This window comes from Homo sapiens, chromosome 2 (assembly GCF_000001405.40).
Source record: "Homo sapiens chromosome 2, GRCh38.p14 Primary Assembly".
Classification (NCBI taxonomy): domain Eukaryota; kingdom Metazoa; phylum Chordata; class Mammalia; order Primates; family Hominidae; genus Homo; species Homo sapiens.
The window spans coordinates 157,913,430-157,938,914 of record NC_000002.12 but is presented as its reverse complement, the minus strand read 5'-3'; the positions used below and the strand labels follow the sequence as shown (position 1 = coordinate 157,938,914).

The 25,485-nt window shown below is 40.9% G+C and overlaps 1 long non-coding RNA gene across 2 annotated transcripts in view, besides 2 other annotated features; it reads right to left on the bottom strand.

Annotated features, from left to right (window-relative positions):
- Nucleotides 4,845–5,554: an enhancer, noted in NCBI's record as "OCT4-NANOG-H3K27ac hESC enhancer chr2:158789873-158790582 (GRCh37/hg19 assembly coordinates)". NCBI's record gives its function as "activates a minimal SCP1, AML or CMV promoter by ChIP-STARR-seq in naive H9 embryonic stem cells {active_cell/tissue: H9 hESC(naive)}" and the evidence as "EXISTENCE:reporter gene assay evidence [ECO:0000049][PMID:30033119]".
- Nucleotides 5,555–6,266: an enhancer, noted in NCBI's record as "OCT4-NANOG-H3K27ac hESC enhancer chr2:158789161-158789872 (GRCh37/hg19 assembly coordinates)". NCBI's record gives its function as "activates a minimal SCP1, AML or CMV promoter by ChIP-STARR-seq in naive and primed H9 embryonic stem cells {active_cell/tissue: H9 hESC(naive and primed)}" and the evidence as "EXISTENCE:reporter gene assay evidence [ECO:0000049][PMID:30033119]".
- The window catches only part of LOC105373714 (uncharacterized), a 41,791-nt gene continuing 36,846 nt past the window's right edge, over nt 20,541–25,485 (bottom strand). For both annotated transcript variants that reach the window (XR_923517.3, XR_923518.3), the window contains exon 2: nt 20,541–20,942. This is a non-coding gene — a long non-coding RNA (uncharacterized LOC105373714). The remainder of the gene's footprint in view (nt 20,943–25,485) is intronic.

Sequence of the window (25,485 nt, the reverse complement as noted above, 5' to 3'; positions counted from 1 at the left end):
AGGCCTCTGGGCTGGCTCACAAATCAGGAGAGCTGCAAAAACAGGGTTGGTAAGGACAGAAATAACAGCAGTTCAAGTGTGAAGAACTCAGTTCTTGGTGCTTTTCTCAGTTATCATTGGATAACTATCTAGATGACCTTTCACCTCTGTGGGTTTCCACTCAGAGTTTGAATTCCAAGCAGACTTAATCTCACCCTGGTGGGACAGAGCCACAATCATTGGCTTTGCCTGGGACAAATGCCCACCCTGGGCCAGGGGAGCAGGTTCAGACATGAAAAAAGAGTGAGGAGTCGGGTGCAGTGGCTCAAACCTGTAGTCCTAACACTTTGGGAGGCCGAGGCGGGTGGATCACCTGAGGTCAGGGGTTTGAGACCAGCCTGGCCAACATGCCGAAACCCCGTCTTTACTAAAAATACAAAAATTAGCTGGGTGTGGTGGCACATGCCTGTAATCCCAGCTACTTGGCAGGCTGAGACAGGAGAATCGCTGGAACCTGGAAGGCAGAGGTTGCAGTCAGCCTAGATCATGCCACTGCACTCCAGTCTGGGTGACAGAGCGAGACTCTGACTCAAAAAAAAAAAAAAAAGTATGTGTCTCAAACACTATTTTGCAAGCGTGAAAGAAGGAAGAGATAGAATTGTGACGTTAAGTTCCCCAAGTCACTAAGCAAGCTGATAGTGAAACTATAATATATCTTTCAGTCTGTGACCTTTGGAACTCTCTGATAAGATGCAGACTACTTTAGCCATGTAGTAGACAGCTGATGTTTTTGCTAGGCCAGTACTGTGGATTAAATTGTGTCCTCCCAAAATTCACATGTTGAAACCCTAACCCCCCAATGTGATGGTATATGGAGATAAGGCCCTTGGGAGATAATTCGGTTTAGATAAGGTCATCAGAGAAGAGTCCTCTTGATGGGATTAATGCCTTTATAAAAAGAAGAAAAAGTTACCAGAGCGCTCTCTCTGCCACATGAGGACACAGCAAGATGACAGCTTTCTGCAAGCCAAGAGTGTGTCCTCACCAGAACTCATCCATGCCAGCACCCTGATCTTGGTCTTCCAACCTCCAGAACTGTGAAAAGGGTCTCTGTTATTTAAATCACCAGTCTATGGTATTTGTTATAGTTGGTGCCCAAGCCAACTAAGACAACCATGCCATCCATGCCAGCACCCTGATCTTGGTCTTCCAACCTCCAGAACTGTGAAAAGGGTCTCTGTTATTTAAATCACCAGTCTATGGTGTTTGTTATAGTTGGTGCCCAAGCCAACTAAGACAACCATGCCATCCATGCCAGCACCCTGATCTTGGTCTTCCAACCTCCAGAACTGTGAAAAGGGTCTCTGTTATTTAAATCACCAGTCTATGGTGTTTGTTATAGTTGGTGCCCAAGCCAACTAAGACAACCAGCATCCGTACCCCTTATTTTGGAAGCAGCTTTCCAATTCTAGGAAGTATTTTTTTTTTTTTAGACAGAGTCTCACTTTGTCACCCAGGCTGGAGTGCACAGTGGCATGATCTTGGCTCATTGGAACCTTCGCCTCCCAGGTTCAAGTGATTCTCCTGCCTCAGCCTCTCCAGTAGCTGAGATTACAGGTGCCTGCCACCGTGCCCAGCTAATTTTTGTATTCTTAGTAAAGACGGGGTTTCACCATTTTGGCCAGGCTGGTGTGAAACTCCTGATCTCAGGTGATCCACCCATCTAGGCAGTCTTAATAGGAAAGTCAAGGCCCGGTGCGGTGGCTCACACCTGTAATCCCAGCACTTTGGGAGGCCGAGGCAGGCAGATCACGAGGTCAGGAATTAGAGACCAACTTGGCCAATATAGTGAAACCCTATCTCTACTAAAAATACAAAAATTAGCCGGGCATGATGGTGCGCGCCTGTAATCCCAGCTACTCAGGTGGCCGAGGCAGGAGAATGGCGTGAACCCGGGAGGCGGAGCTTGCAGCGAGCCAAGGTCGCGCCACTGCACTCCAGCCTGGGTGACAGAGTGAGACTCCGTCTCAAAAAAAAAAAAAAAGTCAAGCACAGGGCCCTCTACCAAACCAAGCCAATCAGACTCTCCAGGGAGAATGACAGAGAGACTCTAGGTGGGTGAAATGGGGTTATTCTCATGGCATGACCTAAGGAAAGAAGGTATGTATATTTCTGACTAAGATTCGGTAGCTTCCTGCTCCTCTTTCTTCCCAAGACCTGGCTCATCAGTGTTTCCTTTAATTCTGTAAGCTATAAAGTGTCCTTCCAATAAATTCCTTTTTCCATCTAGGTGAGTCAGAGCTTCTTTCAGTTTTTTGCAGAACTGATTCAGCAATGGTAGCTGGGAGTGAGCACTGCAAGCAACAGAACTGCTGTGGAAATAGCAGAATTAGGTGCAAGGCAATGAGAATTCCCCAGTGTAGTTTAGAAAGCTGAAGCCAGTTATTTTTCTTGAACTTCCCAATTCATATATTCACCAATAAATTTCCATTTTTGCCCAATCTAGTCCTGATTAATATAAGCTACTTATGCAAAATGCAAGGACTTATGCTAGTAAGGTGTTTCTCTTCTTGTGGTTATTTGGTGAATTGATGTGGGCTGCCGTTGTGTATGTGCCTGGAAGCACTTTTTTTAACCCATTAGAGTAGCCTCAATGCACATCAATACCTGGCCCCAAACCAAGCCTTTGGCTTTTATAACCCTCAAGCTAATAAATGAGAACTGGAAATTTAGGTGCACAGAGAAGTACCCAACCACACTCCCCTTCTAAGATTATTGTATTAGAAAGAGCCTATGGAAAGCAAAAAGGCAGAGCACAGCAGGCGAGCATAATAATAATGATGACCACTATTTGTTAAACCCTTACTATGTGCCAGACATTGGGCTATTATGTCACTTAATCCTGGAAGAGCAATACTATTATGTTTTGTTTTGTTTTATTTTGTATCTAAGGTTGAGCTGCAGAGTCTCAGAGCTGAATTGATTCAATCAGTCATTCTTTTCTGTTACGGGCATGATATAATCATCTGTCTAGACATGACCCCTATTTTTTATCTTCTTTATCCTTCATCCCCAAGTGTATCTAATGTGTGTCCTTCCAATCTACTTTCCATAGACTTACAGATCCGTAAAAATATGTAGTATAGTGTCTGCTTTTAAACTGTATATAAATGAATCATACTGTATGTCTCACTCTGCAATTTGCTTTTTTTACTCAGCATTATGTTTCTGAGATTCATCCACGTTGATATATATAGAGAGAGCTAGTTCATCTGTTTAAACTGCTCCATTGTATGTGATCATATCAATATACTGTACCTTACTTAGGTATTTTCTCTTGACAGATATCTAGACTGTTTCTAATTCTTTCCTAATACAAAAAAAAAACTTCAATGAATAATCTTGTACACATCTCTCCATGCATTGTGCAACAGTCTCTCTAAGATTTACCTAGAAGTAGAATTGCCTTAGGCTATATATATTTTCAGTTTTAGGAAATCTTGCCAAATTACTTTTCAAAGTAGCTTTACTAATTTACACTCCCACCAACAGTATATGAGAGTTCTTGAGAGAGATAATATTTAGTATCTACATTTTGCAGGTGAGGAAACTGAGGAAACACAAAAAATGTCCAAAGTAAAATACTGTATCTATCTGAACCATGTCTATCTAGCTCCAGAACTACATTACTCAATGTCATGATAAGATATACACTAATTAACATAAGAAATATATTCAGCTGCAAGTGACAGAACCATCTACCAGTAGCTAAAGCAGTATAGGCATTTACCATCTCACTTAACACCATGGACTGAAGAGAGGTAGTTCCAGAGCAAGTCAGTAGCTCAGCTCTGGCAACACAGGTACTCTTCAGTTTTTTTATTCTGTCACCCTTAGCTGTTTTCACCCTTATCTTATCTCTTCTCAGTCCTATGATGTCTGACATCGTTCTGACATTGCGTTTGAGTTCCAAGCAGGAAGAAAAGGGTTGAGGTGGTGGTGTATGCAGGCAGTGGTACCATGAAGCTCTTTGCTTGTTCTCCTTTTTATTGGAAAGAAAAATGCCTTCCTTGAATCTTCACTCATCCAAGCCTACTTCCTTTATCTCACTGGTCAGAATTTGGCCAGAGCCCACTGCTGAAAGAATTTCAGGTAAAGTGGAACGAGATGATCATGTATGGTTTAGATAATCATGACTCAGCTACTGGGGCTAAGGAAGGATCTGCTTTCCTGGATCTAAAGCCATCTTCAAGTCTAAAACCTGTTCTGTTAGTAAGAAAGAAAGGAAACAACTCTTGGATATTGACATGGTTTTTCTTCCAACTTGGTATCTTCTTAGATTTCTTTGCTGACATCCTCATCCCACTGAGTTGTTAAATTCTTGCTTGGTCCTGGTCCTCTTCTCTTTCCAAGATATTTAAAAGAAGGCCAACAGATGGCCAACAGGCCAAATTTGAGTTTTTAACCCCTGCTGTATGCTCCCTAGGCTGATAGTATCCATTTTTATAGTTTTAATTACCATTTACATATTGATGACTCCTAAATTTGTATCTCCAGCTTCCTCCTCTGCCTTGAGTTTCAGATCCATATGTACCATTGCCTACTTGGATATTCCTAAGACACATCAAAGTCAACGTATCCAAAACTGAGTTTTTCACCTCCCACCCAAACTTGCTCTTTCTTCTTTGGTGAATCCTATCTCAGTAAATACCACCCCCTTCCACTCAGTTACCCAAGTTAGAGACCTGCAAGATATCTTGGTATTTTCACTCACTTCCCACATAATAACTCTCAATTTATCTGCTTTTCTTCATCTCCATTGCAACCCTGACCTAAAATTTTGTGATTCAAGTGTTTGTAGTGTGGACCAGCAGCACGGCACCTGGAAGCTTGTTAAAAATGCAGAATCCCAGGCTCTACCTGAGACCCACTAAATCAGAAATCTGCATTTTAACAAGGTCTCCAGGCAAAATTCTTTAAAATTTGAGAACTTCTCTTCTCGTCTTCTGACATAGTTTACTATGTCAAAGTAAATCTCTGGCCCCCTAAAACTCTTCCTTTACACTGCAAACCTCATAAGTCACCTCCCTCATTAAAGCCCATAACTAGCTCCCCATTGCTTTAGAGACAGAATGCAAAAGCCTACAGAGTACAAAGCCCTGCGGAAGTTCCCCCGCTGCCTAGTCTCCAGCCCCATTCTGCCTTCCCTTGTGGACGCCAGCCACATTAGTCTCTTTCCAATTCCTGTGCCAGGCTATATTTTTTCCAACTCGGGGCCTTTTTTGCCTGCTGTCCACCCCTATACCCAGCATGATCTCAACTGCCCTGGCATATAGCTAACTCCTACTCTTTTGCTTCCTCAAAAAAGCCCCTTCTCTCACAGCCCAAATGAGATTAGCAGCTCTCCTGTTAAGCTCTCGTTGCACATCATGCTCCTTTAAACATTTATCACAGTTGTATTTAAATAATGAAGGGTGTGTTTCATCATTCAATGTCAGTCTTCCCAATTGAATTGAAGTTATACAAACAACTGTATCGGCTCTGTGCATTGTTACATGCTTTCAGGGCCTAGCACAGTGCTGGATGCACATTAGGCATTCAATCAGTATCTGTTGACTTAATGAATATGAATGAATAATCATTCCCTGGGAGTTGTCTTGGCTCAGGGTGGCCCCACTTTCTTAGTTCAACTGGAATCAAGAATCAGAAAAAGACCTCAGAGGGCCAAGGAAGTATAATTTGACCACCAGCAGCTAATCAGGGATGAAAATGTCCAATTCTGACTGATGGACCTCATGCACGTGCTGAAAGAAAAACAGAAGCAGCCCGCCTGAGGGTGATGGTAAACATTTTGTTCCCCAGCCAGTGCCCTCCTCCTCAATACACTCCCAAACTGACCTTTAGAAACACTTTTGTATAGTGGGAGGTCTCTTTTAACCTCCAGTGAATAGGGGTATGAAGTGGTGTTTGCTTTTTGCCCTTTGTTCTCTGACTGAGAAAAGTCTGGAGGCGGTGGAGTGAGGCTTAGTAATACAATTGCCTTCCCTTTCATATGCTAAAGAGGGTTTTTCCTCCTGGTTTAGTATAATCTAAGAGTTGTGGAGGTCTGGAAGGGATCCACTCCTCTTCCTTTTGGCATCTCATTTCCTGCAGACTAGGGGTAACTTTGCAATTAATAGAAAAACCAGAGCTGTAAAAATATCGTCAACATTGCCCACCAAGCAACTCTGTGAGTTGAGCCAGTGTAGGATCGTTAAATACTAAGTTTACAGGAAGGACATCCAGGTGAAATGCGGGAAAGTCCCGCCATCGTTGAAGCTGGCCAGAGATCCTTGCGTTCCTGCCATTCTCCACACCCGAAGGAAAAGTTGAGGTTGACTTGCTCAAAATAGCATGTTGTCACAGCCTTTGACTTCCATACAGGTGTAGATCTGGGTTTTGGGGTATTACATTTATACAGTTCGGAGGGTTCCCCAAATTAAGAAACAGAATCTTATGAATAAAATCAGGTTCAGGGCTTCGGAAAGATCTAGTGCGACTGAGGACAAGCTTTGTGATATATCCACATCTACCCCCAGCTGAATATACGGGAAAAGCTGAGGCTTCAAAGCCCTTGGGCAAGTGTCTCACTACCTAAAGGCTTTATCCAGTAATCTGTAAAATGGAACTCTCAATCCCTTCTCCACAGAGACAAGGCAAAGATGCGTAAGACAATGGCAGAGAAAGTACCCATTATTTGATAGGAAATACTCAGTCTTGTGGAGACCTCTTTGGGAATTTACAAATCCCTTCTGGGCTGCCTTCTCCTTCCCTTTAGTATCTCTTTTGCCTTTAAATTTTTCCAGGTACTTCTGTGATCAATCTAGGATATGTATTCTTACTGCAGACTTAAGGAAAGTTCCCAAACAGGCAGCTGAAGTCAATACATTTGTTTGGACATCACAAGATTTTTAAATAAATTTAATTTGCTTTACTTTTATTGTTTTATCCTTAGCTTGCTTTTTTCATATTTTTCTTTGTTTTACTTCATAAAGAGCCAGTGCAAGTTTATTTGGGTTTTTTTGTTTTTGTTTTTTTCTTGTTTGGTTTGTTTAATTTGATTTGTTGTTTAATTTTTTGCCACTGTGCAAAAGGCAATCCAAAGGTCAGTCTGGTGTGTGTGTGTGTGTGTGTGTACTGAATTAGGTCCATATTGTTTACCATCCCTAATGTTTACCATCCCTTACCAGCTCCATGTTTATAATCCCGAGGGCATCTGAGTTTATAATAAATCAAAATCTGCTAGCAAACACACAGAGGAGTAGGAAAGGAATCAGGAAAATGCTGTAAACTAACACATAGCAAGTAGGGAAACAGCACTGGAGTTTGAGGGAGCCTCTGGCCTGGTACTACCTGGTTCAATTCCCATTTTAGCCACTTACCAGCTTTTAACCTATAGCTATATTCATTTGAACTTTCTAAATCTCACTTTGCTCATCTAGAACACTGGGATATTTATAGAGCTTTCCTTAGAGTTTTGCTGTGAGGATTAAATGAGAAAATCCTCTCGAAGTGCTAAGAATAGTCAGTGGAACAGGGTAAACCCTCAATAAATGTTAGTTATTATTAACAGCACCTCCTGTGTAGCCCGTAGTGAGCTTTATATATGTCACCTCATGTCACAGCACTGAGAGGTTAAATGGCCTGCCCAAGATGGGGAAATGTAAGAGTTTAGACAAAGAAGCTATTTTTAATGAGTTTCCATTTACTGCTTTTTACCAAATCAAAGACTCATGGATTTGTAAGATTTGTAATGCCTATTTCCAAGCATTAAAACGTAAGAAAATTATATGTCTCAGAAACAAAAGATAATAGCGCTCTTTCCACTACACTACATCATGTATCTCCCCCCAAATTTCTTTTCATTAGCACATTGTCCAATGATAGATGTGCCCATTGCCAGCATTATTTATTAGCTAGATCATGTACAGATACCTCACTCTGGAGTCCTGTAGCACTTATTGTACCTTCCATTGTCATCACTTCAAGATGTGATCCAGATATTTGGCAGATCAAGCTGGGAAGGTCACCCTTCTCCCAACTAAAGAAAACCACTAGGCAACTGTATGGTAATGTTCAGTTTCTAACCTAATCCAAGTTTTATGCTGACCTACTCTGCAGAACACCTTAGTAGAGGCTGGGGAGACCTGACTGTGGAAACCACCCTGTGGAAAATGGGGTGATGTAGAAAATAAATTCAGAATTTGGTGTGAAGAACCTGAGTCCAGTGGCAACCTTTTCAACAGAAGTAACTATGAGACTTGGGGGAAGTGACATCCTCTATAAAATGACACTAATAATCCTACCCCGCTTACTTCTGATCAACAGAGTGAAGATCTATGATATGCAGGTTGAGCATCCCTAATCTGAAAATCTGAAATCTGAAATGCTCTAAAATAAGAAACTGTTTGAGCACTGGCATGACACCACGAATAGAAACTCCACACCTGACCTCATGTGATTGGTCGCGGTCAAAACACAGGCACATAACACAGAGTTTTTCAGCATTCCCAAAGGAAAAAAGACCCTCTCAGCCCCTCGTTAACTTTGACATCTTTTCCATACATACCCAGACTTCCCCACACAAGCACACCCACCAAGGTTAATAAAATGGCACATGTGCAGGCCAGACACACCAATGGCAGATTCCCCATGATGCCCTACACAAGGCCAAAACCTACATGCATTACTCACTGTGGGTTTTTGCTTATTCTCTGCTTTGTGGTGTGAAAATTTGTTGAACATGTCAAAAGTGCCTGCAGATAACTCCTCTGGGTAACAGTGATAAGAAAAAGAGGAAGCATTTATGTTTATCCAAAGTACACAGAAAGTCAAGCTGTTGGAGAAACTGGACAGCAGTGTAAGTGTGGAATGTCTTAAACAAGAGTATGGTGTTGGAATGACCTCCATATGTGACCTGAAGGAACAGAAGGATAAACTGTTTAAGTTCTATGCTGAAGTGATGAACAGAAGTCAATGAAAAATAGAAAAACACTGCATAAAGCTAAAAATGAAGATCTTGATTATGTACTGAAAGAGTAGGTCTGTCAGTGTCGTGGTGAACTTATGCCACTTAACAATATGCTGATCATAAAACAAGTGAAGATTTATCATGATAAACTAAAAATTGAAGGGAACTGGTGAATATTCAACAGGCTGGTACAAAATGTTTATGAAACCAATCAAAAATGATGTCCCTGGGGATCCATGTCTTTTTGTTAGCATAATAACGGACTGGTAAGAAATTCATTCCAGAAATTTAAGAAAAAACATAGCATTAAGTTTTCGAAAATTTGTGGTGACATACCAGGTACGGTGGCTCACGCCTGTAATCCCAGAACTTTGGGAGGCAGAGGCAGGCAGATTGCCTGAGGTCAGGAGTTTGAGACCAGCCTGAGTAACATGATGAAACCCCATCTCTACTGAAAATACGAAAATTAGCCAGGCATGGTGGCACATGCCTGTAATCCCAGCTACTCAGAATCACTTCAACCTGGGAGGCGGAGGTTGCAGTGAGCCGAGATCATGCCACTGCACTCCAGCCTGCACAATAAAGTGAGACTGTCTCAAAAAGAGAAAAAAAAATTGTGGTGGTAAAGCATCTGCTAATCACAAAGCAGTGGAGAAACTCTTTGATGAGTTTGCCAAGGTCATTGGTTATGAAAATTGGATGCCAGAACAAGTCTATAATGCTGATGAGACATTGCTGCTCTGGCATTATTGTCCCAGAAAGACATTGACTACAGCTGATGAGACAGCATCTACAGGAATTAAGGCTGCCAAGGACAGAATAACTGTGCTGGGATGTGCTAATGCAGCAGGCGTGCATAAGTGTAAACTTACTGTGATAGGCAAAAGCTTACATCCTCCCTGTTTTCAAGGAGTGAATTTCTTACTGGTTCTTTATTATATTAACAAAAAGAGATGGATCACCATGGAATCTTTTTCTGATTGGGTTCACATTTTGTACCAGTGGCTTGTGCTTACTGTAGATGGCTTACTGTAGATGGCTTGTGCTAAACTAGATGATCACTGCAAGATTTTGCTATTCCTTGACAACAGTTCTGCTCATCCTTAGTTGAAATTCTCACCAGAAATAATGTTTATACCATGTACTTTCTCCCAAATGTGACTTCAGTAATTTAGCCATGTGACTCAGGTATCTTTAGGTCAATGAAGAGTAAATATAAAAACATTTTCTTGAACAATATGCTAGCAGCAGTGAACAGAGGTGTGGGTGTGGAAGATTTTCAAGAGGAGTTTAGCATGAAAGATGACATATATGCTGTTGCCAACACTTACAACACAATGACTAAAGGCACAGTGTACATGCCTGACACAACCTCTGGCCTGCCACTATGTTCAGAGTTGATGATGAACAAAGTGGTGACTTTGAAGAATTCCCTAAGTCAAGTGAGAAAAAAATGTCTCTGACCTTCTTACATATGCAAAAAATATATTTTCAGAGGCTGTTGTAAGTAAGCTGGAAAAAGTGGATATTGAAGAAATTTTTAACATGAATAATAAGTCTCCAGTTGTTCATTTATCAACCAATGGTGAAATAGCTGAAATGACTCTGAATCAGTATGATGGTGATAGTCCAGGCATGGTGGCTTACACCTATAACCCCAGTGCTTTGGGAGGCCAACGTGGAAGGTCACTTGAGCCCATGAGTTCAAGACTGGCCTGGGCAACATAGGAGACTCCCATCTCTACAAAAAATTAAAAGTTTGCTGGGCATGGAGGCACACACCTGTAGTCCTAGTTACTTGGGAGGCTGAGATGGGAGAATCACATAAGCCCATGAGTTCAAGGCTGCGGTGAGCTATGATCTATAATTTGTGATCAAGCCATTGCACTCCAGCCTGGATGAAAGAGTGAGACCCTGTCTCTACAAAGAAAATTAAAGAAACAACAACAACAAAAAGATGATGGTGACAATGAAGTTGATCTTAACATTGCAGAAAAAGTACCTATAGGCAGCATGCTGAAAATGTGTGATGGGCTTATTGAAGGATGAAAGCAGCATGTATTCATAACAGAACAAGAAGTCATGTCAGTTAATAAAATCAGAGGCTTCTAAGACAAAAACCATTGTTAATGAGGCAGATGACTTTGGAGGAAACATTTTAAAAAGCTATCCAGCAGAATGTCTCCTCATTGCTAGAGGACCCACTTCCTGGTCCCTCAACTGCTTCTGATGTTTCTTCTCACCTGAAGAAAAAAAAAAAAAAAAAAAAAAGTACAGTGTACAGTAACCTTTTAATCCAAACCTTTTAATTGTAGGTGGAGACAGAAAGCCCACAGTTGTTTGTTTTGCTGTTGACAGTTGGTACAAATATCCTGATGATGTCGCTGTGCCGCTCAGTTACCCCAAACACATCATTTTTTCCCTGTATTAATTGTGTGTCATACTTTTTCCTGTATGTATGTGTGAATAAGTGTAAGAAAACAATTGCTTATCAGTAGCATATAAAGTCAAAGTCAAGAATGATGGTGATGCCAAAAAACCACACATTGTCCACATGGGTGGGTAAGATAGTGACACCTTTGCTTTCTGATGTTTCAATGTAACTGTTTCATACACAAAAATGACCAAACATGTTGTATAAAATTACCTTCAGGTATGTGTATAAGGTGTATATAAAACATAAATGAATTTTGTGTTTAGACTTGGGTATCATCCCCATGATATCTTATCATGTACATGCAAATAGTCCAAAATTGGAAAAAAATCTCAAACCCAAAAAATTTCTGGTTGCAAGCTTTTCAGATAAGGGGTACTCAACCTGTAACACTTGTGAAACATAATATGTGTGGATATGCTGTACAAATGTAACCTTTATTAATGTCGTTGTTAATTGCTGTAGCTTGTTACTTTTAGCAGGAAATAGGAAATAAGATGGTGGAAGTTGGGCAAATCACATACAGAAAAGGTATATGTATATGTGATTGTGTATGTATTCTGAAAAGTCTAAAAGGGTGTATTCCAAATTGTATATGGTAGTGGGGCTTACTTCCATATTTGTGGATTAAGTTGTTGTTACAACAAACATATTTTTTATTTTTTTAACATTTCTTTGTAATATTCAATAAAAATATGTAGTTTTAATAATATTTTTGTTTCAATAAATCTATAAAAACAACAAAGAATCTCATGCTAAGAAGAGGTTCTTTTCAGGCCAGACGCGGTGGCTCGTGCCTGTAATCCCAGCACTTTGGGAGGCTGAGGTGGGTAGATCACCTAAGGTCAGGAGTTCGAGACCAGCCTGGCCAGCCCTGTCTCTACTAAAAATTCAAAAATTAACCAGGCATGGTAGCACATGCCTGTAATCCCAGCTACTTGGGAGGCTGAGGAAGGAGAATCTCTTGAACCTGGGAGGTGGAGTTTGCAGTGAACCAAGATTGTACCATTGCACTCTAGCCTGGGTGACAGAGCAAGACTCCGTCTCAAAAAAAAAAAAAAAAAAAAAAGAACAGTAGCGTTTCCAGAAACTATGGTTTGACCAAATTGAATCAATTCTTAACACATCTTATTCTAGCCCACCACCTCACCCCAGTATGTTACAGATCATGTGAAAAAACAGCCCCTACTAACCAACTCTGTTTTAAATTCTATGGCCAGGTTTTTCTTTTTTTTGAGATGGAGTCTCGCTCTTACCGCCTAGGCTGGAGTGCAGTGGGGCGATCTCAGCTCACTGCAGCCTCCACTTTCTGGGTTCAAGCTATTCTCCTGCCTCAGCCTCCTGAGTAGCTGGGATTACAGGTGTCCACCACCACGCCCAGCTAATTTTTGTACTTTTAGTAGAGACAGGGTTTCACCATATTGGCCAGGCTGGTCTCGAACTCCTGACCTCAGGTGATCCGCCCACCTCGGCCTCCCAAACTGCTGGGACCACAGTCGTGAGCCACCGCACCCAGCTATGGCCTAATTTTTGATGGTTGTTAGTTTTGGTTTGTTTTTTTCTTACAAAACTTTAGTTAGATGTCTTCACTTAAGAAGGGAATCCCTCTTTTGAAGGAAAAACAATGAATTTTCATACCACTAATTATTAAGATTTACAATCAAAAGAATCTCAATTTGAGCAAAGAATCAGCAGTTTCTTCAAATGAAAAGCACAACATCTCAGAAATTGGAAATTTCTCATAAAATTTTAAAAACCAAAACAATTACCTTTTAAGAAAACTAAAAAATTCATCGTTTCACCTCCATGGCCAGTCTATGACAGGCTCTTTTGCTGATAGGACTTCCTCCTCTCACCTTTGAGATTGATAACATGCTTATAGCTCTCTCCTCAGACCTGGTCTTCTAACGGCCTCTTCTTTGGAGATCACACATCTGGTACCACCTCTTTGCATATAATTTCCAAATATTTTTTTCTGGCTTGAAACACCCTTCTCATTTCTGTAAAACTTTTCACTTATCAGTTAGCCCAATTTACACTCATTGCTAGTATCTCATCCCATACCTGCTCAGAACGAAATTAATCTTTCCTTCTTTTTGTTTTGTTTTGTTTTGTTTTGTTTGTTTGTTTTTGGTACACCGTAATTCTTCCCAGTCAACCAAGAGCAGCCAAGACTGATATGTTTTTCTTTGACTTCTTCCTTCTCTATGCCCCACAATTCTTTGCTTAGATTTTTATTATGCCCTTTGCTTCTTCCCACGTCTACTCCCACCTCCCTGGTTCAGGCTCTTGCTTTCAAAGCAAGCAACACAAGTGAAGAGAAACAAGCAATAGGAGGTGAGAGAAGCACTCACAATGGGTCTAGCATGTGACTGAGAACTTGAAAGATATTCTCCTTAAGTGAAAAAGGTATTCCAAAATAATAAAATAGCATCAATAGAGGCACCCCAGGCACAGATATGCCTGGCATCATGAAAGAAAAGGAAGAAGCTGGTGGGGCTTTTGTGTTGGGGCTGTATAAAGATTCTCAGGGATTAGGTTGGACAGGTAGGTTCATTCCAGAAAGACTTTGAATTCCATTCTCTAAGCAGTGGAAAAATAAACTTATGTGGCAAGAAAACCTGTTATAAAACTGGTGTGGGCCAGGTGCAGTGGCTCACACCTTTAATCCCAGCACTTCGGGACGCTGAGGCAGGAGGATCACTTGAACCCCGGAGTTTGAGACCAGCCTGGGCAACAAAGTAAGACCCTGTCTCTGCAGAAAATGTAAATATTACAACACAAAAACTGTCGTGATAGCCAAGGGAACAAATCATGGAAGTACTAATTATGGCAATAAGAATTGACACACAACATATTTGACTCTTAGAATCCACTGTTTTGGTGACTAGTTGCTTGTGGGAGAGGGGCAAGTGGGAGATGAAGACACTAGAGGTAACTGAGTTTGGTAGCCTGGGTACTTAAAAGCATGATTCACCTTGAAGAGCAATGCAAATTGAGATTTGCATTTCCGAATGACAGTAAAGTTCAGTTTTAGGCATGTAGATTGTGATGTGTCAGTGGGATATGCAGGTGGAGAGGTCCAAAACACACTATTACCTCTGTGAGTATGATCTCCTAGGAAATCTATTCCTAGATCCCCGTTGGATATATGGCTTTTATTTATATATCCCATCAAAACAAAGACAACCCGTCTAGCCCTGAACCTATCATGGTTTCTTTGCCACAAACCACCTTCACATTCCCACTGGTCTGTTTTGGATAATGATATTTTCATTTTCCAAAGTCCTTGTCTAGTACCTATAGGTTGTTTCCAATTCCTTTCTCCTTTAATGCTTATCTTTACTTAGGCACCAAATCTTATTAATTTTTTCTTTTACACTTTTCTCACATCCACAAATCTTCTGCCTTATCTAACTGCTGCTGCCTAACTCTGGCCCTTATTTTTTTTATACCTTAGTAATCACTTCCTAACAGGACCGTTGCTGCCAGGCCTGCCCCCTAACAACCCATTCTATCTCCCACAATAAGGTTACTCTTCCTAAAACCCTAAATTGATCTTGTCACTCCCCTTCTCACAAACCTTCATTTCAAAGCAAGCAACACAAATGAAGAGAAACAAGCAATAGGAGGTCAGAGAAGCACTCACAATGGGTCGAGAATGTGACTCAGAACTTGAAAGATATTCTCCTTAAATGGAAAAGCCTGGACAACATAGCGAGGCGCTGTCTCTACAGAAAATGTAAACAAAACAACACAAACGCTTTCTCACAAAACTTCATTGACTTTCTGTTATGAACAAGATAAAGTTCAAATTCCTTAATATGATTCAATTCATAATATATATAGTCTAGCATTCTCTCCAGCCAAACTGATCTACTTAGCATCCTAGGAAACTACTCTACTCTCCCCAGGTTTTACTTCATTGTCTGCATTTTAATCAGAGTATATGGAGGGCAAAAAATAATTTTTTTAGAAACACTTAATAAATACGTGGGTAAATCTCTGTTCGGGGCTCTCAGCTCTGAAGGCTGTGAGACCCCTGATTTCCCACTTCACACCTCTAAAAAAAAAAAAGAAACACCTTGAAATGTCAAAAGAGAGGTGCTTGGTGTCTTGGCATAGTCTCAGAAGGGACTCCATTGAACACATCTGGCTAACTTGCCATGCCAGGGGCTCCAATCACAGATCTAAAGACTACATAAAAGAAGGGAAAGAAAAAAGAAGAGAAAGTGCGGAATAAGTGAATAAAGAGGAGATCAAAGAAAGAGATGTGTAGGAGTTGGCCATAAAGGACACACATTACAGTTCTCAGCCCTTTCTAAATAACCAGTCTTTATAAACTTAAAAGTGATTAACCTCTTGCCTTGGAGTGCCTCAAGGGCAGAAATCAAGTCTTGTTTTGTTTTTGTTTTTTTTTTTGTCCTCAGCACCCAGCACAAAGGCTGGCACATAGATGGTGCTCAATAAATGATTCTCAAATGAATTGCCAGCAACTGACTCATTTTCAATTAAAGGATGTTGGTGACTTCACCATCCTCCCAGATTACATTCTGCACTTGTAAAGACTGCTTTTGCTTTCTGTGTGCCTTTTCAAAGATGTCCAGAACAACACTGAGGAAAAAAACAGCACTCGAAAAGGGATTTTTAAAAATACAGTATATATTGGGAAAATTGATTTACTTCGACATACTGCTATTTATTGGTCCTTTTTCTAGAATCATATTTGACTTTCTGTCTCATTTCCAGTTATGAGTAACTCCCACCATTAACTCTTTCAGGCAATAATCACTCATTGCTAGTCACTGTTCTTGCTATGTTGGTATAATCTGTTTTTCCCTCTTAATAAACGTATTACTCTGTGATAGTTGCTAATGAAGTTCATTCTTTCTGCCTCCACCTCTTCCCCATCTTGCCAGACCATTTGGAATTCTAATCCTGTCCTGGATGCTCGCCTTCCTAACTGACGATGGGTGTCATCTGCTAACAGCATGCTATCATCTGTCAGCTCTAGGAGCTTATTTTCTGTTCTATCCATGTAAATCATTGATGAAATATTAAAGAATCAGCCCCAGAATGGAGGCCTGTGGGACATGATTTCTAATATCGCTGAGTTTGACATGAGTATCATTGATAATAAATTTGTCGTAAAACTACCTACCACAGAGCCACACTTACCCCAGTGTATTGGCGGAATACACACAGTCTTGGGGAAGGTAATCAAAAGTCTTCCTGGGGCCAAATAGCCATGGAAAAGTTTAGGGAGAAAACTAACGTACTGACTGCCCATATTTCTGTTAAGCAGGCACTTCATGTATGTTAATTTAATGAATCCCTCCACCACTCTATAAGGCAGTATAGTATAGTGGTTAATGCCAGGGATCCTAAGGTTAACGTGTCTGAGGTTGAATTTTTACTCCATCACTCTCTAGCTGCATGAAATGGGCAATATATTGAAATTCTCTGTGCTTAATTTTTATCATCTGAAAAATAACAATAGAATTCACCTCAAAGAATTGTTTTGAGGATCCCATTGCATGTAAAGCACTTAAACAGTGCCTGGCACACTCTGAATTTTCTACAAATCTTAGCTGTTATTATTATCACATATTAAAGTTGAGGAAACTAAGGCTGGTATGTAGCAGAGCCAAAATTTGAGACCTGAGTGTGTCTGACTCCAAGTCTCAGCTCTTTCTACTCTATTGTACAGACTTTTAGGTTTATATTCAACATATTTCCAAAAGAGATTTCAGATAAAAATGGCTCTAGCAGTCAGAAATGCATTAGATTGTACCTAAGCCTCATAATTTAAGCCACTATTTATTTGTTGGGGAGGTATTTATATTTGGTTGAGTTCTGCTTGAAAAACAAGTTATTTTATAAGAGAAAATAAATGACCTGAGTATAAAATGAAAATCATATAATACTAGGTTTGAAAAACTTCAGGGATCAACTAGTTAAAACTATAGACTAATGACTAATGAAGGGTTCTTCTGGGATTTTTGTTAAATTTTTTTCTAATTACATAAGTGGTAAGTGCTCAAAGTAGAAAACTTGGAAAACTCTGACAAGCCCTAAGGAGAAAAATCACCCATAATTCAAGTAATACTGATAATCACTATTAATGTTTTCATGTGTGTACTTTCCTTAATATTATCTTTCTTTATAAAATGAAAAAAATAACAAAATGAAAAAATGTAGCTTTGTTTACAAAAATTTTCTTTACAAAGTTGTGTCACAGTATGTACGCTATTTCAGTAGGCTGCTTTTTCACTTAGCAATAGATCATCAGCTTTTTTTCTATGTCCTTGTCTTACTGATTTTTAATATTTGAAAAATCTATAAAAAACAAATCATAGGAAAGTACCATAAATAACTAATCCCCTTTTGTTGGACATTTAGGTTGATTCTATTTTTTCCCTTACTATTATAAATAAAACTGTCACGAAGAGCCTTGTATTATGTTGTTGCATAATTCTCTCATTATGCACAAATCCTTCTTATCCTTAACAGATGGTTAGCCAGCCTCTGTTTGATCACTTCCAGTAACAGGGAGCTCACTTCTTTGCCAGACAGCTCATTCCATTTATGGACAACTCTAATTGTTAGAAAGTTCTTTATTTTTAACCCAAATCTGTTCCCCTTAACTTACACTCATTGATTCTAGTTTTGTGGTCTGGAATTACCCAAAGCAATCTTTTTTTTTTGTACTTGGAAGCCCATCAAATACTTGAGGAAGGCCATAATGAAACTCCCTAAGTATTCTCTTCTTGAAGATAAATATCCACGTTTATAAGTCTTATGATAAAAAAGGATGAGAAATTGGTTGTGGTGAAGGGGTTCCTCAAGAAAGATATAAATTTGGTGACAGATCATATTCCCTTTTTGCTTTGGCCTCCTGGAAGCTCAGAGCCTACTTGGCTGCCCTGTTTTTGTAACAGTAGAACCTTGTCACCTGTTTATATGTGCAGTTTCTTTTCTCTTGGACCTAATCATCCTATTTTGCCTATATTTTTTCTGTCTATAAGTTTTCCTTAAAAAAAAAAACTTACTGGTAGATCTCTTGAAGATGGAAAGTAGATTAGTGGTTACCAGAGGCCAGGAAAGGTAGAGGGGTGGGGTGATAAAGAAAGGGGAATTAATGGATACAAATACTCAGTACAATAAAAGAAATAAGACTTGGTGTTTTGTAGATCAGTAGGGTGACTGTAGTTAACATTAGTCTATTGTATATTTCAAAACAGCTAGAAGAGAATAATTAGGATGTTCCTAGCATAAAGAAAAATAGTTAAGGTGATGAATATTTTAATTATACTGATGTGATTATAGGAATGCATCAAATGATCACACATACCGCTAAAATATGTATATCTATTATGTATCAATTAAAAACATAAAAATAAATAATAAAAATGTTAAAATTTACTGCAGGCGCTCATAAATCCTCTGTAGTACAAGATATAGTATAATCACGTAGGTTTCTCTATTATATTTAGCCACTCTGTACAAAATTAGTTGATCCTTTTGGTTCCCTCTTAGTATTTTAGTACACATGCATGTCTTTAACTTCCAAAAGCTATCAGAGCAAAGGAATAGTTTTAATTCCCTGCCCCTTTTCTCTGGTGGGGGAACTGAATGGAATGGGAGGATAGATAACAGATTCTCATTCCTCCTAATCATTAGTAGTTTCTCATATTTTCAATATCTCCTCTGTCATCCAATGGCATCATTTTCTGTTCTTAAAAGACACTGTAACACGTATCTCACTGACCCTCAGAGCAATGATCACCACGCATGACACTGCAGGGTTCACAGACTATCCATATACATGTGAGGATGGGTCATCCTCCCTGCAGCACCTCTGATAGCAAAGTACTATTATCCTCATTGCAGCCTTGGAGAACAGAGGCTCAGAGAGGTGAGACTTGAATCCAGGTCCTCTAACTCTGAATCTGAGAGCCCATCCATGCCCCTACAGTGCATGGACTTCAGAAGAGCTCCAGACAGACCCAAGCCAAGAGGATTTCACTCCCGTTGGCCAGGAGGCAGGCAACTCTGCATGTTCCTCCTTTCAGTCAGGAATCCAGCTCTGATGATCCTCTTCCCACAGAGAGAAGCGTGCCGGCTGCCAGTTGCATATGGCTTGACGAAGATAGGAGAGGACATAAAGACACCCCCCACCTCCCTGTGCCCCCGGAGGAAAATCAAGCAGATTGTTTCCTACGTGGAGGAAGTGGATGTGAGAAACCTAAGGCAGCAGGCAGACCTCAAATAGGTGAGAATCACAGTGACTCCCCTGACCCCCTTGCAAGCTCTGTCTTGAGGAGCCAGGTTCGAAGGCACCAGGGCTGCCTGTGGGCCAAAGAGCTAGACCATTTCAGCCCCAGGAGCTTCCTCCCCGAGATGCCCACCTGAAGAGAAGCCGCTCTTGCCTTCAGCCTCCCTGGAAGACCTCTGCTGCCGGCAGGCTGGTCGATGTAACAGCTCAGAGTTGAAACCCTCTTAAAAATAGCTCTGTTCCCTTCTGGGTTTAGCAACTCACACTTGAAAAGCTCTTTATTCTTTATAATGAATAGAGAGCAGGAACTTTTCATTGACAAAGAGGAGCTAAAATACAAAATAAAGGCAGAGCGATGGTAGTTATTCTTTTGAAGCGGTGGACAGAGAGGGCTTCAGTACTCAGCTTTCACAGCTATCAACCCTTTCCTTGGGTTATTCCTGGAATAGAGGCATGAAGAGGCTTTTGAGCGGCTCTTGCTGTCAAAAGCTCTTGTGTGGTGGGCAGTATTTCAGGTGACAGCATTAGCTAGAGACCAGCAGAGCAGCTTGAAGTTGAAATTTCAATCTAATTAATCGACTGAAGGAGAAAAAGACCTGAAAGAAGGGCTTAACTCTTTGCTATGCAGACCTCCAAGACTCCTGACCATACTGAGGAAGGGAGCAGGTCTGACAGTAACAGGATGGGAGTGAAAGGTCAAGAAGCCAATACTTATCTTGGTGGGAGGGACCACCATTAGGTATGTGTTGGGGAACCTTGTCTGTCAGAGAGGCCAGAATTACTCAATTTATGTCTTACCCATGAATCAAGAGTAATACAGATGGAGGAATAATGTCAAGTCTAGTTTCAAAGTAATTTATTTTCTTTAAATCAAATGAAATGCATCTCTCAGAGTCCCAGTGAGTTGGTGAGAAATTTGATCTCAGTTATTATTTGGGTCTTCTTCCCTCTTTCCAAATATAAACATCTGGGAGGCATATGAGTTACCTGGGAAAGAGGGAAAAGACATGTAAATTATGCAGCGTAATTGAAGCTGGTCATATGCCAAAAACTCCAAATCACATTGTCTTAAGATAGGATGTTTATTCCTTGCTCAGGCAAAGTCCAACGTGGATGTTCATGATCAGGAAGCCATCTCAGGCAGCTCTCCTCCAAGCAGTGACTCAGGGATCCAAGCCCCTTCCAAGATGGGTCTCTGTCATCATCTGGGCTTTGAAATCATTTGCTTCCTACCACTATGACTGGAAAGGAATTAGAGGTAGAGATAGAGAGATCATAAGGATATATTTACGAGTCAGGCCCTAAAGTGGTATATATTACTTTAGCCCACATTCAATCAGTCAGACTCAACCACTTAGCTGTAAGTTGATACAAGGAGGCTGGCAGAGAAATAGAATTTAACTGTGTGCCCAGTAAACAGAAATATCTATTGATAAAATTTAGCAATCTGTACCAATGTATCTAATCTTCAGGTCATATGGCTTTTTCTGTTAGTCTTCTCGTTCATTCCACATGGTCCATAGAAGCTTGGTGCTCTCTGTTTGTCAGAAGGATTCAGTGAGGCTGGAAACCACACCTGCTACAGTCTTGCTGCTTCTTCTGGAGAGGGGCATCATGGACCCGTCAAATTCTAACTCTTCTTTTTCTCTTTCCTCTGAAGCATCCTTTTCTCTTCTCCTAGGATTTCTAGTATAACTTTTTTTTGTTTTGTTTTTTGACACAAAGTCTTGCTCTGCCGCCCAGGCTGGAGTGCAGAGGCGCATCTCCGCTCACTGCAACCTCCACCTCCCGGGTTCAAGCCATTCTCATGCCTCAGCCTCCCAAGTAGCTGGGATTACAGGCGTGTGCCACCACGTCTGGCTAATTTTTGTATTTTTAGTAGAGACCTTTTTTTTTTTTTTTTGAGAAGGAGTCTTGCTCTGTCGCCCAGGCTGGAGTGCAGTGGCACGATCTCAGCTCACTGCAAGCTCCACCTCCCGGGTTCACGCCATTCTCCTGCCTCAGCCTCCTGAGTAGCTGGGACTACAGGTGCCCGCCACCACGCCCAGCTAATTTTTTGTATTTTTGGTGGAGATGGGGTTTCATCGTGTTAGCCGGGATGGTCTCGATCTCCTGACCTTGTGATCCGCCCACCTCGGCCTCCCAAAGTGCTAGGATTACAGGCATGAGCCACTGTGCCCGGCCACGAGACGGGGTTTTGCCATGTTGGCCAGGCTGGTCTCGAACTTGTTACCTCAGGTGATCTACCCACTTCAACCTCCCAAAACGCTGGAATTCCAGGCGTGAGCCACCATGCCCAGCCCCATGAGGCAATTTCTACTAACTCATAGAAAAAATATTTAAGTATTTTATTGGCAGAAATTATTTTAGCTGGAAATGACAGGGACATTGACATAACCAGCTTAAACAATAAAAAAAAATTAGTATTATTTTAAATAACAACAACAAAAGCCAAAGGTAGAGCAAGTATTATAATTGGAGCTGGGGATTTATTGCTTTGCTGTTCTTTGTGCTCCCTCATCCTCCAGATAGAGGCGTTTTCTTCAGGTTGATTCCTTCTGGTGACTGCCATCAGCTCTTGGAACAACATGCTTCCTCATTAGAAAATTCTTTATAGGCCAGGTGTGGTGGTTCACGCCTGTAATCCTAGCACTTTGGGAGACTGAGGTGGGCGGACCACCTAAAGTCAGGAGTTTAAGACCAGCCTGGCCAACATGGTGAAACCGTGTCTCTACTTTAAAAAAAAAAAAAAACAAAAATATTAGCCAGATGTGGTGGTGCATGTCTGTAATCCCAGCTACTTGGGAGGCTGAGGCAGGAGAATCGCTTGAACCTGGGAGGCAGAGTTTGGGGTGAGCCGAGATCGCGCCATTGCACACCAGCGTGGACAACAGAGTGAGACTCCGTCTCAAAAAAAAAAAAAAAAAAAAAAAAAGAAAAAAAAAAAAGAAAAATCTTTCCTCCTACCTTTGAACAAAAGTAGTCTGATTAGGCTCGTCTGTATCACTTGCCCATCTCTGATCCAACAGCAGTCTCTAGGAGTCATGCCATGCACTGATTCACTGAAGCCTAAATTCTGAAACCAATCACTTGCAAGGAGATTAGAGTTACTAGGATTGGCTTCAGTTGAGGATAGGGCTGGCTTCCTGAGACACTTGGGCACCATGAATGGGGTTGCAGTGGGGCTTTTGTAAATAACATTAGGGTTCTGTTTGAAAAAAGGAAAATGGTGGGAAGGATGCTAAGGAGGCAACCCTGGGAGAAGGAAGGTCTCTTGGGATGGGTGGACTTAGACATCTTTCCTTTCTCTCTTCCAGGAAAACCTAATCTCTCCTAGTGCTGTTACATTTCTTAATGTGGCAATAGCTGTAACTCATACCCTTAAAACCTTGCACAGTGCTGTGGATTCAATTGTCCTGCTTCTTTGTATGTGATCATATCACATAAATTCAATCAAGTGGGGGTTTGTAGGAAGGCTGATTGTGGTCAAGGTCCAAATTCTACCCTCCATTCTATGCTTACTGGAAATATAGTTGATCTTTTGATCTTCATCTGTTGGATTCCTATATCTATTTCTAATTAACTCATAACCGGGGGTAGGCGGACATGATTATCATCCCTAAAAACCTCAACATGTGTGCTCTTCAGAGCAAACCAGAATCTAAAGGATTTGGAGAACTGTCACAAAGAGGAAATGTAAAATTCAATGTTGAGACCTTGTGCAGCCATCAGAAAAAAATATCAAGACTTTCTGCTGCCATACATCAGCTAGATATATCAGATATTCGGTAAGTTCAAAGTGCACAAATTTCAGGAGCATAGCCATCAAGAAAGCTGCACTGCTAGTAATGGGAACTCTGTCTTTGGAAGTATTCATGCACTGACTGGATGACCATCTCCCAAGTATGCCTAAACATGGAATTCTGCACGTTTGGGAAGTGGAACACAGTTACTTTCATGATACGATCCAACTTTTTTTCCAAGTAATTCTGTTTTGCTAATTGTTTGACCTGTGGTTTTCAAAGTGTAGTTCCAGTAGCAGCATTAGCACCATCTGGGGAACTTGTTGGAAATGCAGATTAACAGGTCACACCCTAGCTCTCCTGTTATGGGTGGAATTGTGTCCCCCAAAAGGATATGTTGAAGTCCTAACACCCAGTACCTCAGAATGTAGCCTTATTTGGAAATAAGGTCATTGTAGATGTAATTAGATAAGCCAAGATGAGGCTGTACTAGCGTAGGGTGGGCCCTTAATCCAATGACTGATGTCCTTATAAGAAAAGGAGAGAGAGACACGGATACACAAGGGGAGACCTCCATAAGATGATAGAGGCAGATACTGAAGTTATATACCTGTAAATCAAGGAACACCACAGATTGCCAGCAAACTACCAGAAGCTAAGAAGAGGCAAGGAAGGATCTTCCCTATCGATTTCAGGGGAAGTGTGGCCCTGCTGACACTTTGATTTCAGACTTTGAGCATCCAGAAATAGGAGCTTGTTTTAAACCACCTATTTCGTGGTAATTCATTATGGCAGCCCTACGAAACTAACACACCTACTGAGTTAGGAACTCATATATTAGGGCCCAGCAATCTGTGTTTATAAGTACCCCAGATGATTCTGATATATACTAAAATTAGAAAATCACTGATTGATTCCTTCCTTCCTTCCTTCCTTCCTTTTATTTTTTTATAATTTCAACTTTTATTTCAGATTCAGGGGGTACATGTGCTGGTGTGTTTCATGGGTATATTGCATGATGCTGAGGTTTGGGGTACAAATGATCCCATCACCCAGGTAGCGAGCAAAGGGTTTTCCAATCCTTTCCCCTCTCTCTCCCTCCCTGCTCTAGTAGTCCCCAGTGTCTGTTGTTGCCATCTTTATGTCCATGTGAGTGCCTAATGTTTAGCTCCCACTCATAAGTGAGAACATGTGGTATTTGGTTTTCTGTTCCTGGGTTAATTTGCTTAGGATAATGGCCTCCAGCTGTGTCCATGTTGCTGCAAAGGACATGATTTTGTTGTTTATGACTGTGTAGTATTCCATGGTGTATATATACCTTTTCTTTATCCAATCCACTATTGATGTGTACCTAGGTTGATTTCATGTCTTTGCTATGGTGAACAGCGCTGTGATGAGTGCATGTGTCTTTTTGGTAGAATGATTTGTTTTCTGGTTTTTTTTTTTTTTAGACAAGGTCTCACTCTGTTTTCTAGGCTGGAATGCAGAGGTGTGATCGTGGCTCACTGCAGCCTCAATCTCCCAGGCTCAAGCAATCCTCCACCTCTGCCCCCCAAGTAGATGGGACTACAGGCATGCCCACCATGCCTGGCTATATTTTTTTTTTAAGAGATGGGGTCTCACTACATTGCCCAAGCTGGTCTCAAACTCCTGGAATCAACCGATCCTCCCATCTCAGCCTCTCAAAGTTTGGGGATTATGGATGTGAGCCATGACGCCCTGCCCTTCTTTTGGATATATACCCAGTGATGGGATTGCTGGGTAAAATGGTAGTTTTGCTCTTAGATCTTTGAGAACTCTCCAAACTGCTTTCCACAGTGGCTAACTAATTTATACTCCCACCAACAATGTATAAACATTCCCTTTTCTCTGCCGCCTCACCAGCATCTGTTCTTTTTTTACTTTTTAGTAATAGCCATTCTGATAGGTGTGAGATGGTATCTCATTGTGGTTTTGATTTGCATTCATCTGATAATTAATGATATCAAGCATTTTTTATATGCTTGTTGGCTGCTTGTATGTCTTTTTTTTGAGAAGTGTC